Source organism: Homo sapiens, chromosome 15 (assembly GCF_000001405.40).
Source record: "Homo sapiens chromosome 15, GRCh38.p14 Primary Assembly".
In the NCBI taxonomy this organism is placed as follows: Eukaryota; Metazoa; Chordata; class Mammalia; order Primates; family Hominidae; genus Homo; species Homo sapiens.
In genome coordinates this window covers 64880107-64894705 of record NC_000015.10, presented here as the reverse complement: position 1 = coordinate 64894705, position 14599 = coordinate 64880107, and the positions used below count along the sequence as shown (strand labels likewise).

The following is a 14599-nucleotide window of genomic DNA, read 5'->3' as shown; positions in this document are numbered from 1 at the left end:
GGCCACTCCCCACCCAGCCCCCCCGACCTGCTCGACACCCCCAAACAAGCCATGCACACCTCCCTGCCTTTGCCCAGGCTGCATCCTTTCCGGGTCACATGCCCTTCCCTCTCCCCCTCCTCAAGACAGCTAAATCCTGCTCATTGTTTAGGGCCCAGCTCAAATGTCACCTTCTGAGAGAAACCTTTCCCTGCCCTTCCAGTAAAGAAAATACTCATTCTTCCTGTTGCCTCCCTCAGCCCCGCATTCAGTCCCGTCAGGAGTGCAGCTGGGCTCCAGTCCGCCACATCCCCTCGCGGAGCCCCCAGTGCCTTATCTAGAAAATGGAGGTAAATCGTCCCTACTTGGGGGGCAGGACGAGTTCAATAAAATGGGACACGTCGGGCGTCTAAACATAGCGTGGGGCCCACAGTAGAGCCCGGCGAGTCCAACCAGTCAGCCTCGCACTGAGAGGGAAGCGCGCGCCAGGCCCCGTTTCCAGCCTCCTGTAAGTCCTCCCGGAAGACCAGTTCACAGCTCATTGGAAGATCAACCAGGATTGACAGGTTCCCAGCCCAATGGCTGGCCGAGCCCGAGAATGGCTCGGGAGCAGGTGGTCGGCCCCTTCCCCTCTCTGGGGCCTCTACCTGCGGAAGGCAGGGCGGGGGGCCTGGTTTCCACAAGCTGCCTGTGTCAGCCTGTGGGGCCGGCCGCCCCACTGATGACTCAGGTCTCCTCCCCACCCTTCCCCTTCAGGAAGAGGCCCTGTCATAATCGCAGTTGTACTACATAAAAATAGCTTCGTTTCACAGTGACATGAGCACAGCCCTTTCCACTGAGGGAAGAGGAAGGCAGTTTCCCCCTACGCGTTCCCCGGGTCCCTCTTCAAAAGCGGATCCTCGGGTGGGGGCTTCACACTTCTCAGCAATAGCTTCATCAGCGGCTTCCTCCCCGGCTTCGGCGCTGAAGGCTTTTTTTACCGCTTTGCGACCAGCTTCTCACCTTTTCTTATTTGGCCCTCACGTCAGAGACGGCAGGCAGCTGAGGTTGCTGTTCCCATTGTGCAGGTGTGGAAACCCAGGCCAGAAGAGGGGAGGTGACTGGCCTGAGGTCACACAGCAAGCTCGCGAGAGCCGAGTTGGGGGCCCTGACTCCTTCACCGAGTTCCTTACGCGCCTGCATAGGCCTCCTCCTAGGAAAGTACTGTGGCCACAGCCAGGGCACCAAGAAAAAGGAGAGGCGAGGAAGGCTGGACGGAACACAGATGTGAGGGGCAAGACATTCATGCAACAAACATTTGTCTGGCCGGGTGAGGTGGCTAACGGCTGTAATCCCAGGACTTTGGGAGACCAAGGCGGGCAGATCACCTGAGGTCAGGAGTTTGAGACCAGCCTGGCGAATATGGTGAAACCCCATCTGTACTAAAAATACAAAACAAATTAGCCAGGCGTCATGGCGCACGCCTGTAATCCCAGCTACTCGGGATTGGAACCCAATGACAAATTGGTGGTTTCCCTGTCAGTCAGGCCTGTTAGACTGAGAGCAGCCCCTCCAGGCCCAAGACTGATGAGTCTCAGCCATGAGGCCCAGCCTGGGGTGTGGGGGCCTTTGCTGCCCATTGAATCCCTGCAGTGCAGCCACTGAGGAAACCCTGCCTGGTCTTGTGGTCTCTGCTCTTCCCCCTCAAATCCACCCTCTACTATCAAAATGTAAGGCAGGTCAGAGGGCACAAGCTGGAAGCCTATAAATGGGTATCTTGTGGCACTAGAAAGAAAGGCACGCTGTGTTCCCAGCTGGGTGCCTGAATGCGTAGGAGTATGGGCAAGTGACTGTGTGTGTGCACATGGTTGTGTACAAACTTGGGGTGTGTGTGTCTTAGTCGGTTTTCTGTTATTTGTAACAGAGTACCTGAAACTGGGTAATTTATAAAGAAAAGGAATTCTTTCTTGCAGTGCTGGAGAATGAGAAGTCCAAGGTTGAAGGGCTGCACCTTGTGAGGTCCTTCTTGGTGGTGGGGACTCTGCGGAGTCCTGAGGCCCTGAAGGGCATCACATGGTGATGGGGTTGAGCATGTTAGCTCAGATCTCTCTTCCTCTTATTATAAAGCCAACAGTCCAATTCCCGTGATAACCCATTAATCCATGAACCCATTAATCCATTAATCCATGAATGAATTAATCTATTCATGAGGGCAGAGTCCTCATGGCCCAATCACCTCTTGAAGATCCCACTTTTCACTACTGCCACATTGGGGAATAAGTTTCAACATGAGTTTCAGAGGGGACAGATATTTAAACCTTAACTGTATGTCTGTGTTTGTGTGTGTGTTTGTGTGTGTGTGTGTGTGTGTGTGTGTGTGTGTGTGTGTAGCTGCTGTGGTTGTCAACTCAAAGTGAAAAAGCCCTCACTTCCTGTTAAGAATCAATTACAGCAGTTTTTATAGAAGCTCTAGCTCTCCCTGTGGGGATCACAGGAGCCTGGGAGGAGAGGTGGGAAGGCAGAGCAGGAAGAATGTCTTCCCTGAGCAGTGCTGGGAGCAAGATCAGGACTGCACATCCAAGACTCCAAGTTCATGTCCCACTGTGCTGTCAAGTCACTGCATGACATAAACAAGTCACTATACCTCTCTGGTTCCCTTTCTGTAAAAGCAGGAGGGAAGGTGAGACCAAATGATCCCTAACCCTTTCTCCTTTTTGGAGACTCAGATTAGTATCCAGAGTGCACTCTCCAGAGGGAGACACCAGGCATGTCGTCCACTCCACATTGGTCTAGCCCTTCCTAGACCACTGTGGAAACACCTAGACCCTTTCCTGAGGTTGTCTGGGGGAGGGGACAGGGAAGGAGTTTCCAGTAGGGAAGGGCTTAGTGGCAGCCAGCCTCCCACTCTCATCAGCAACTTCTTCTCCTCCACCATCCCACACTGCCCTGCTCCCTCCCAGTTCCCACATCCTTGACCAGAGGAGAAACACAAATTAGTTGCTCAGTAGGAAAAGGCAGGAGCCCCTGCCCCTTCTACCCATCCCATCTGCAATGGGAGAGGGGAAGTGGGGAAGAGGGCTGGGTTCACAGTCAAAACTGGCCTCCTCATTTTACAGATGAGCAAACCCACACCTAGAGAGAGGCATTGAGTACCCACTCAAGGGCATACAGCAAGACAGTGGGAGTGCCAGGATTGAACCCAGCGTCCTATAAGCCTTTCCATATCATCAGGCTGCCCCTCTGAGGAGGGTCTCTAACTAATTCCCACATCCACTGAGAACAGAACACAAGAGCAGGAACTGACTTTGCAGCAAGGGGACTTAGGCTGGACACCAGGAGGCACTTCCCCCTGGGCTTGGTCAACTCCAGGACAGGTAGCAAAGGAGTGCTCACCTCCTCCCAGCATGCCTTTAGAGTAAGATACCCTGAAATGCAATAGCTCCCTGTGGTTAGGAAGAAAGCTAGAGAGACCAGGCTTCCAGGCAAAGTTACTCTGCTGGGATGGAGGGAGGATCCAGGAGAAGGAAGAAAGCTACTATGGCCAAGGCCATCCTCAGTACTCACTCCCATTTCCCACCACAGCTGTGAGAGGATCCCATTTTACAGAAAAGAAAACTGAAGCCCAGAGAGGTAAATTACTTTCCCAAGGTAACACGGCTAGAAAGTAGTGAGACCTGTATGGTATAACCCCCAAAATCTTTGTTCTCTCCACTGAGTGGTTTCCCAAAATGTGGACCCCAAGATGAATTTAAAACCTAGAGCCAGACTATGGTGGCCCATGCCTATAGTCCCAGCTACTTGGGAGGCTAAAGAAGAATTGCTGGAGCCCAAGAGATCAAGGCCAGCCTGAGGAACATAGAGAGACCCCTCTAAAAATTTTAAAAATTAGGCTGGGCACAGTGGCTCATGCCTGTCATCCCAGCACTTTGGGAGGCCAAGGCGGGCAGATCACCTGATGTCAGGAGTTCAAGACCAGCCTGGCCAACATAGTGAAACCCCGTCTCTACTAAAAATACAAAAATTAGCCGGGCATGGTGGCACACGCCTGTGATCCTAGCTACTCGGGAGGCTGAGGCAGGAGAATCACTTGAACCCAGGAGGTGGAAGTTTCAGTGAGCCGAGATCGCGCCACTGCACTCCAGCCTGGGCGACAGAGCGAGACTCCATCTCAAAAAGAATAAATACATAAAATAAATAAATAAATAAATAACCACAAATTTTTAATTAAAAAAATACAGTCCACAAGGTGAGTTTAGGTGATATGTGGTTGAATTGGTTTTAAGATTATTACAGCCGGACATGGTGACTTACACCTGTAATCCCAACACTTTGGGGAAGCCAAGGCAGAAGGTTGCTTGAGGTCAGGACCCTGTCTCTACAAGAGTATCTTAAAAATTATCCAGGTGTGTTGGGGCATGCCTGTAGTTCCAGCTACTTGGGAGGCTGAGGTGAGAGGATTGCTTGAGCTCAGGAGTTCAAGGCTACAGTGAGCTATGATTACGCCACTGCACACCAGCCCGGGCAACAGTGAGATCCTGTCTCTAACATAAATAAATATACAAAATTTAAAAAATAAAATTATCATTACTTCAACAATATATTGATCCAAATATAAGTCAGGACAAAATTAATAAACTCATCAAATTCATGATTTCACAGAAATTATGCCCTGTGACTAGGCTAAGTTTTTTGTTTTTTATTTATATTATTTTTATTTTTTGAGACAGAGACTTGCTCTGTCACCCAAGCTGAAGTGCAGTGGCATAATCTTGGCTCACTGCAACCTCCGAGTTCAAGCAATTCTCCTGCCTCAACCTCCTAAGTAGCTGGAATTACAGGCGCCTGCCACCATGCCTGTCTAATTTTTGTATTTTTAGTAGAGCCGGTGTTTTGCCATGTTGGCCAGGCTGGTCTTGAACTCCTGACCTCAAGTGATCCACCTGCCTTGGCCTCCCAAAGTACTGAGATTACAGGCATGAGCCACCACACCTGGCCTGTTTGTTTTTTAATTTTTTTTTTTTTTTTTGAGACAGGGTCTTTTTCTGTTACCTAAGCTGGGGTGTAATGGTGCAATCACAGCTCACTGCAGCCTCAACTTCACAAGCTCCAGTGATCCTCCTACTTCAGCCTCCCAAGTAGCTAGGACCACAGGCATGCACCACCACACCCAGTTAATTTTTGTATTTTTGGTAGAGACTGGGTTTTGCCATGTTGCCCAGGTTGGTCTCAAACTCCTGAGCTCAAGCAATCCACCCACCTCAGCCTCCCAAAGTGCTGGGATTACAGATGTCAACTACCATGTCTGGATGCGACTAGGCTAAGTTTTAAAAGGAATTGATTTAAAGGAAAATATTAAATGGATAATAGTTTAAATAGCAAAAATCTGGAAAGTGATACATGAATGGCTGAAACTTTAGAAACAGTACTGGAGGACCCTTGGTCAGTGGCAGTAAATAGTGGCCTCTGGCCATGCTGGTTTGCAAACACAGGGTGATTCCTGAGGTGGCCCCTCCTATCTGGTCCCTCTAGGGCAGGGGTTCCCAAACCCCAGGCCACCTGGCAGGAGGTCAGTGTCCAGCTAGCGATCATTATCGCCTGAGCTCCACCTCCTCTCAGATCAGCAGCCGCATTAGATTCTGATAGGAGCAAGAACCCTATTGTGAACCGCACTTGTGAGGGATCTAGGTTGTGCGCTCCTTATGAGAATCGAATGCCTGATGAAACTGCCCCCCACCCCCTGACCCCCAGGTCCATGGAAAAAGTGTTTTCCATGAAACTGGTCCCTCGTGCCAAAAAGGTTGGGGATCACTGCTCTAGGGGTCATGCAGCTCTCGGCCCTGGTGTGGTGTGTGTGTGTGTGTGTGTGTGTGTGAAGGAGGAAAGGCAGGCCTCAGAAGTGTGAGCTGTAGCCCCTGGAGTCAGCTCTGACGAGGTCTTGAAGCTCCCCACTTGGCCTTTGTGGGTGCCCTTCCGCTCTCAGTTTTAGCTCCTTGTTTTAGGTCCTGGTTCCTATTCTCCTCTGTCCAGCTCAGTTTCAGCCTTGCTCATTGTCTGAGGAGCCATCTGACCGGAGGGAGACTCTGGGGCTCCCTGAGGAGGCAGCTATACTCTGGGGCCCTCCCTCCTGGGCCTCCAGGCCTGGCCAAGGGGGCCAGTTCCATGCAGCTGAGCATCGGGCCTGGCAGCCTGCGAGCTTCTTGGGCGCAAGGGACTGAAAGAGGTCACAGAGCCAGGGCCCTTGCCAGCTGACCCTGCGGTCTGGGGTCAGCTCCAGAAGAGGAGGCCATCATGGAGGCCGAGTACACACACTCTAAGGCCTGACACAAAAGGGCCTGTGGGGCAGTGTGTTCCCTCTCAGGAGGAAGCCCTGTGGTGGGGGAAGGGTTTGGAGGGACTTCCATCTACCTGCAGCCCCCTTACTACACTAGCACTTGGGGCGGCCCAGCCCACCTTAAATTACTCATGGCCCATTCACTCACTCAGTAGGATTTGGATCCTGAATAATCATGATCATATATATAGATAAACTTTTTTTTGTTTTGAGGCAGGGTCTTGCTCTGTCATCCAGGCTGGGGTGCAGTTGACACAATCTCCGGTCACTGTGGCCTCAACTTCCTGGGCTCAAGCAATCCTCCTACTTCAACCTCCGGAGTAGCTGGGACTATAGGCATGCACCACCACACCTGGCTAATTTTTTTTACTTTTTGCAGAGATGGGGTTGCCCAGGCCAGTTTCAAACTCCTGGGCTCAAGCAATCCTCCTGCCTCGGCCTCTCAAAGTGTTGGGATTACAGGCGTGAACCACCACACCTGGCCTAATAAACATTTTTGAGGTGTGTCTTCCCATACCTCTGGGCTGAGTGCTCTTCACAGAGGATTTTATTTAATCTTCACAACAGCACTGGGGGGTGTGTTCTGTTATTATCCCCACTTAACAGATGATAAAGTGAGTCTCAAAGAAGTGAACCATCTTGCTTAAGGCCAGATGTAGGACATGGGGGAGCTAGGATTCAACCCCAGAAGTGTTTGATTCTGAAACTGTGCTATTTCTCCCATCCACGTGAAGGGGAGTTCACCATTGGAAAAGAAAGTCAGTCCTTCGACCTAGACTTGATCCCCAATTTACATAGAAATAGTTATTTTCTGGCCAGGCATGGTGGCTCATGCCTGTAATCCCAGCACTTTTGGAGGCGAGGTGGGTGGATCACGAGGTCAGGAGATTGAGACCATCCTGGCCAACATGGTGAAGCCAGATGTGGTGGTGCGTGCCTGTAGTCCCAGCTACTGGGGAGGCTGAGGCAGGGGAATCACTTGAACCCAGGAGGTAGAGGTTGCAGTGAGCTGAGATCACGCCACTGCACTCTAGCCTGGTGACAGAGCAAGACGCCATCTCAAAAAAAAAAAAAAAAAAGAAATAGTTATTTCTATTTACATGGCTTAGCCTACTGCGAAAAGCTATCCTTGAAGGATTATCAGTCACCTATACCTGAGTGTGAGGGAGTTTTTGATCCTTGTGACCTTGTACCACAAATATTTTCTCATTTACCATCTCATTTAGTGCCTGCCAACTAAGAGCAGATATCATTGTCCTCATTTTACAGCTGGGGAGACTGAAACTCAAGGAGGTATGGTGATGGGTTCTCAACCACACCTGTGGGCAGTCCCCTGGCCAGCATCCCAACCAACTCCGCTTTGGGTCAGCCACTCTGTCCTCAACACCAGCTTCTTTCTCATGGCCTTTCTCCCAGAGCACATCTCCATAGAAGGGAGGGGAGCCAGCAGGGGGACCCAAGGCCCCGGGAGAAGTGGCTGAAAGAGAGAAGAGAAACTATATGGACATTCGCCTGGAGTCCTGATTTCTTTTTTTTTTTTTTTTTTTTTTTGAGACGGAGTCTTGCTCTGTCACCCAGGCTGGAGTGCAGTGGTGCGATCTCGGCTCACTGCAAGCTCCGCCTCCTGGGTTCATGCCATTCTCCTGCCTCAGCCTCCCCAGTAGCGGGGACTACAGGTGCCCGCCACCACACCCGGCTAATTTTTTGTATTTTTTAGTAGAGATGGGGTTTCACTGTGTTAGCCAGGATGGTCTTGATCTCCTGACCTCGTGATCCGCCTGCCTCGGCCTCCCAAAGTGCTGGGATTACAGGCGTGAGCCACCGCGCCTGGCCTGGAGTCCTGATTTCAAACCATGAGTCCTTGTCGGGCTTCCAGATCTGCACACAGGAATGTAAGGGCCGCCCTTCATAAGAACAAGATAGCTGTCTTGTGTCCTCTCCCCCAGCCCTCTACCGCCAGCCTTTTTTCTGGCCAAAAGGCCCTTGGCCAGAATAGTCCTTTAACTATTCTTCTTACGACATTGTCTAATTATGATGATTAGACATAAGTATGAAGAAAAACATGCATTTTTTTTTTTTGAGACAAAGTCTCACTCTTGTCCCCCAGGCTAGAGTGCAATGGCACAATCTCAGCTCACTGCAACCTCCACCTCCAGGGTTCAAGCGATTCTCCTGTCTCAGCCTCCCCAGTAGCTGGGATTACAGGCACCTGCCACCATGCCCAGCTAATTTTTGTATTTTTAGTAGAGGCGGGGTTTCACCATGTTGGCCAGGCTGGTCTCAAACTCCTGACCTCGCGATCCACCCGCCTCGCCCTCCCAAAGTGCTGGGATTACAGTCGTGAGGCACCACGCCCGGCCAACATGCAGCTTTTAAGTTAAACAATGTATATGCCTTTTCTGGGGGAAGACTTTTCAACTGAGGAGCTGTGGGTTGCTCACTGTCCAGGGATGTCACAGAGTTGAATTTTATGCAATTAAGTGAAATAATCAGATCAGCACTCAACTTTCTGATGTGACTGGAAAATTGTCTTTAAAAAATCAAAATCTTTTTTTTTTTTTTTTTTTTTTGAGACAGAGCCTTGCTCTGTCACACCCAGGCTGGAGTCCAGTGGCGCAATCTTGGCTCACTGCAACCTCCACCTCCCCTGTTCAAGCAATTCTCCTGCCTCAGCCTCCCGAGTAGCCGGGACTACAGGCGCATGCACCACAATGCTCGGCTAATTTTTGTATTTTTAGTAGAAATGGGGTTTCACAATGTTGGCCAGGCTGGTCTCGAACTCCCGACCTCAGGTGATCCACCCGCCTCAGCCTCCCAAAGTGCTGGGATTACAGGCACGAGCCACTGTGCCCGGCTTTTTTTTGTTATTTTTTTGTTTTTGAGGCAGGGTCTCATGTCACCCAGCAGACTGGAGTGCAGTGGCACAATCATGGCCCACTGCAGCCTCAACCTCCTGGGCTCAAGGCAATCCTCTAACCCCAGTCCCCTGAGTAGCTGGGACTACAAGTGCATGCCACTATGCCTGGCTAATTTTTTATAATTTTTGGAGAGATGAGGTTTTGCCATGTTGCCCAGGCTGGTCTGAAACTCCTGGGCTAAAGTGATCCACCTGCTTTGGCCTCCCAAAGTGCTGGGATTATAGGAGTGAGCCACCGCACCCGGCCAAAATCCACATTTTTAAAATGTGGATATATCCTAAAATACTGCAGGGAAGACCTAGATCAGGGGTTCTTAACCTCTTTTGTGTGTGCCATGGCCTCCTTTGTCATCTGGTAAAAACTTGCAGACCCCTTCTCAGAATAATGTTCTGAAATGCACAAAATAAACTAGCATAGGCTTACAAAGAAAACCAGTTGTATTAAAATGTAGTCATCAAACAATTAAAAAAAATTTTTCGACATAGTACTAGATAGTGCTTCCTAATTAATGCCTGAAGATCAAGAGCTAATAATAGGTCCAATAACTGCTGTAATTTTGAAATAGTGATGAGTATAAACCATATTTTGAAATATCTTCAAAAACCGTTATATGATTTGAAAATATTTGTAATTGCTAGTGACATCATCACGAGTCCTGCTAATACTGCTGTGGTTTGTTGCCTACATTCATCGTTGAAGAGAATGCTAAAATTCAGGTAGAAATTAGTGAAAATAAAGATATATATTTTTTCTCTTCCAAATTTTTAGACTCCTTGAACTCTATCCTTTGATCTTTCGGGTTCCCTTAGATGCCAGATTAAGAACTCTTGTTCTAGTTCTATCTTATATTTTATAGCATGTATATGTAATTATATCCAACAATTACAACAAATACCACAATGCAAATGTATCCAGATTTTGTGGTTTTCAAAATCTGATTAAATTTACCAATAAATAAAGTGCCTGGCAGGTAGTAGGTCTCGATAAAGGGGTGTCTCTCTGCCCAGGGCCTGGGACTCCTGCTGTAGTTGCGCTGCTCATTCTTCTAGGGACGCCCACAGCCTGCTTGGCACTGGGCCAGGCCTTTCCCCACTGTTAGCAGCTTTTATGCCCCGATGCCACACTGCTGCCACTTGGCAGGTGAGAAATCACATTAGGTTTGGGGATATTTTGACTGCCCCTCAACCCTGGGAGGAGGGTGGCTTCATAGCCCAGCCTTGAAGAGCCCCAGGCTCTTTCCCCTAGGGCCCCAAGCTGCCTGCATCCCGGGAATCCCCTGGAAGCCCTTTGCGCCTGCTTCCCCTCTTGACTCATCTGAGGTCGGATGAGGAGCAGTCATGAGCCGCGTGACAAGGTCAGTGCTGACAGGCTCACAAGATGCCCTGAGCGCCTCCCAGGAGAGCTGGCAGGTCCTCAGAGCAGACAGGGCAGACAGATCCTAGAGGAGAAGTCCACTCCAGCCCCTCAGGCTTCAGAACAGGGCCGGAACAGAATTCAGGTTCTGGCTCCCAGAGCTCATCCTCCACCTCTCCCTGCTTCCAGGCTACCCTTTCCCCTGCCCAGATCCTCGATTCCCTGGGGAGTCCTGCTCCCCTCTAGCCAAGCTCTGCCATCCACCTCTTTCTTCAGAGCCTTTCCACCTCATCATCTGCCTTCTTATCAAAATCTGCCTGTTTTGTGTCCCATCAGCATCTGCTCCCAAGGCAACTCCCAGTTATCAGGGGTACATGCAATGTGGAGTAGAAAGACCTGTATTCAAGTGTGGGCTCTGATTGGCAGAGGAATTCCTCTGCCTCTCAGGGCCTCACTCAGTGTCCTCATCTATTCCATGGACACATTTAAATTGCTGCCCTAACTTTCATAGTTGTTATGAGGAGCAAACCCATTTTTCGCTGTGAAATCACTTTATAAACTGTAAAGCACTTTCATAGCTGTGATTTGGGACTCATGGCTGGCAAGTTGTTTGGCGTTTCACAATTATCAAGATCCCTCTGGGGAAATGATACAAAGGAATGGTTTTAGTGGTGGAGTTTCCAGCAGATAGGGAGATCCGTATAGCCAGAGGGCCCTGCCACATATTCCTACCTCCTCCCCTAAACCATGTCCCAAGACGTGGCCTTATAGGCAGTCTCGTCTTGAACATGCTGAGAGTTTGAAATGACCCCTCTGAACCTAACACAGGAAATTGACTGGGGAAGTGTTGGGGTTCATGCAGACTTGCTTCTGCTTTAGATGTGATTCACCCAGTTTGTCTTAGCCACAATTGTGGAGTCAGTCAAGAGAATGGTAGGAGGATGAAACATCTGTTTCTGAGGAAGAAAGCAAGCTAGGACAGGTAGATAGCCCACTGCAGGGGCAGAGCCTGTGGCTCACAGAGGGGCATTTTCGTTTTTTTTTTGTTTTTTTTTTTTGAGATAGGGTCTCACTCTGTCACCTAGGCTGGAGTGCAGTGGCATGATCTCGGCTCACTGCAACCTCTGCCTCCTGGGTTCAAGCAATTCTCATGCCTCAGCCTCCTGAGTAGCTGGGATCACAGTCACGTGCCACCACGCCCAGCTCATTTTTTTTGTACTTTTAGTAGAGACGGGGTTTCACCATGTTGGCCAGGCTGTTCTCCAACTCCTGACCTCAAGTGATCCACCCATCTTGGCCTCCCAAAGTGCTGGGATTACAGGTGTGAGCCACCGCGACTGGACATGGGAAGGCATTTTCAAACGCTTGCTTGGCTTGGGAGCCTGGAGTGTGACCTGCCAGAATCCTGCAGGGTTTAGCACCAGAAGGCTTGGATTCCATACCGCGCTCTGCCACACCCAAACTGTGTGCCCATGGGAGGTCACTGGCTGTCTGTGGGCCTAGGTTTTCTGTCTGTTACAGCTCTGCAGTAATTCCCAACTCAACAGGGTCTTATGAGGATTCATGGGCTCACAAGACACAGAAATGCCTACATTTATGTTGGGGAGTAAAGTGCCCAGCTGTGGCACTGCCACCCAGCCCAGCACATATCTAGGTTTCCGGAGTGTCTGTCTCCCCACTGGGCTGACTCTTGCAGAAGAGAGTCACATGCTGAGACCTGTGGGTGTTCACTCTGCACAGTGGCTAAACGAAGGGAGGGAGGGCAGTGTACCCGCAATCATCATTCCAGAGCTCATGCTGTGTCAGGGCCAGATGCCTGGTAAGTTCCCTTTCTGCCTGTGAGGCTGTGATAGTGTGTCTATGTTTGTGATGTTTTCAGATATTTCACTTAGTTTTCCCCTGTGGGGGTCACAGAATATTCCAGCCCTGGCCAGCCGTTGCCCCAGTGTCTGGGAGTGTTTCATCAGTGTCCTTTGCCCTTCTTTGGTGCCAGTCAGTTTGGTTCAAATCCCAGCTCTGAAATGCACTAGCTATAACCTTGGGCAAGTCACTCAACCACTCTAGTTAGATATACGTTCAGCTTGACATGAACATGTCAAATTGTTTTCTAAAGTAGTTGTGCCAATTTTTACTCCCAAAAACTGAGCAAAAGAGAGCTCATGGTCCATATCCTTTGTCCCCTTTGTACTGTCAAAGTGTTTAACTTTTTTTTTTTTGAGACAGATTTTTGCTCTTCTCACCCAGGCTGGAGTGCAATGGCACGATCTCAGCCTACTGCAACCTCTCCCTCCCGGGTTCAAGCTATTCTCCTGCCTCAGCCTCCTGAGTAGCTGGGATTACAGGTGCACACCACCATGCCCGGCTAATTTTTGTATTTTTAGTAAAGACAGGGTTTCACCATGTTGGCCAGGCTGGTCTCAAACTCCTGACCTCAGGTGACCCACCTGCCTCGGCCTCCCAAAGTGCTGGGATTACAGGCGTGAGCCACTGCACCCATCCCAAAGTGTTTAACTTTTGCCAACCAATGGATGTAAAATGATATTCACTATGGGGCTTATCTGCATTTCTCTGAATGTTAAGGAAGTTAAACATGTCTTCATGTTTATTAGCCAGACATGTTTTCTCTTCAGTGAAATGCCTATTCATATCTTTTGTTAATTTTCCTATTATAATTTTTAGCTTTTTGTTAATTGATTTGTAAAGAGTTTGCTCTGTCACGTAGGCAGGAGTACAGTGGTGAGATCATAGCTCACTGTAGCCTCGAACTCTCAGACTCAAGTGATCCTCCTGCCTTACCTTTTCGAGTAGCTAGGACTGCAGGCTCAAACCACCATGCCTGGGTTTGGGGGCTTTTTTTTTTTTTTTTGACACAGGGACTCGCTCTGTCACCCAGGCTGGAGTACGATGGCACAATCATGGCTGAGTGCAGCCTCGACTTTCCGGGCTCAAGTGATCCTCCCTCAGCCTCCCGAGTAGCTGGAACCACAAGCACGTGCCATCACGCCCAGCTAATTTTTGTATTTCTTGTAGAGATGACGTTTTGCTGTGTTACCCAGGCTGGTCTTGAATTCCTGGCTTCAAATGATCCTCCCACTTTGGCCTCCCAAAGTTCTGGGATTACAGGTATAGGCCACTGTGCCTGGCCTAAAGGTTTTAACTTTAACTTTTTGAGTTATTGATCCATCTAGAGTTGATTTTTTGTGGATAGTGTGAGGTAAAGATTTCTTTTTTCTTTTTCGAACGGGTAACCAAATTTCTAACTCTATTTATTGAATAGTCTAGGGCCACTTTTTAAAAATTTTCTGGAGCCAATCTTAACTGGGTCTTGAGGGGACAGGAGGAGGGTCTAGCTGAAATTTGACTGACACAGAATTCCCTATTAGACTGACCAAGGACTACCTGGGTCACATTCAATGAGTCTAGAGACAAAAGTAGTTCCCACCTGCCTCCGAGCTCAGCACTATTTTTATTTATTTATTTGTTTATTTATTTATTTTTTGAGACGGAGTCTCGCTCTGTTGCCCAGGCTGGAGTGCAGTGGCACGATCTCGGCTCACTGCAAGCTCCGCCTCCCAGGTTCACGCCATTCTCCTGCCTCAGCCTCCCAAGTAGCTGGGACTACAGGTACCCATCACCACGCCCGGCTAATTTTTTGTATTTTTAGTAGAGATGGGGTTTCACCATGTTAGCCAGGATGGTCTTGATCTTCTGACCTCATGATCTGCCTGCCTCGGCCTCCCAAAGTGCTGGGATTACAGGCGTGAGCCACCGCGCCCGGCCTATTTATTTGTTTATTTGAGACGGAGTTTCGCTCTTGTTGCCTAGGCTGGAGTGCAATGGCGCGATCTTGGCTCACTATAACCTCTGCCTCCCGGGTTCAAGTGATTCTCCTGCCTCAGCCTCCCAAGTAGCTGGATTACAGGCATGAGCCACCGCGCCTGGCCTGACTATTTTATTAATAGATGTAACTTATGTGTATGGCAAATAATAATAATTCAGATAGTACTGAAAAGTATCCAATTGTTGGTTGGGCGAAGTC

At 49.4% G+C, this 14599-nt stretch overlaps 5 annotated features.

The window, feature by feature from the left end:
- Nucleotides 23-72: a silencer, noted in NCBI's record as "silent region_6544". NCBI's record gives its function as "represses an Ori minimal core promoter by ATAC-STARR-seq in GM12878 lymphoblastoid cells {active_cell/tissue: GM12878}" and the evidence as "EXISTENCE:reporter gene assay evidence [ECO:0000049][PMID:35858748]".
- Nucleotides 113-162: a silencer, noted in NCBI's record as "silent region_6543". NCBI's record gives its function as "represses an Ori minimal core promoter by ATAC-STARR-seq in GM12878 lymphoblastoid cells {active_cell/tissue: GM12878}" and the evidence as "EXISTENCE:reporter gene assay evidence [ECO:0000049][PMID:35858748]".
- Nucleotides 703-1012: an enhancer, noted in NCBI's record as "active region_9587". NCBI's record gives its function as "activates an Ori minimal core promoter by ATAC-STARR-seq in GM12878 lymphoblastoid cells {active_cell/tissue: GM12878}" and the evidence as "EXISTENCE:reporter gene assay evidence [ECO:0000049][PMID:35858748]".
- Nucleotides 1163-1272: an enhancer, noted in NCBI's record as "active region_9586". NCBI's record gives its function as "activates an Ori minimal core promoter by ATAC-STARR-seq in GM12878 lymphoblastoid cells {active_cell/tissue: GM12878}" and the evidence as "EXISTENCE:reporter gene assay evidence [ECO:0000049][PMID:35858748]".
- Nucleotides 10429-10648: an enhancer, noted in NCBI's record as "active region_9585". NCBI's record gives its function as "activates an Ori minimal core promoter by ATAC-STARR-seq in GM12878 lymphoblastoid cells {active_cell/tissue: GM12878}" and the evidence as "EXISTENCE:reporter gene assay evidence [ECO:0000049][PMID:35858748]".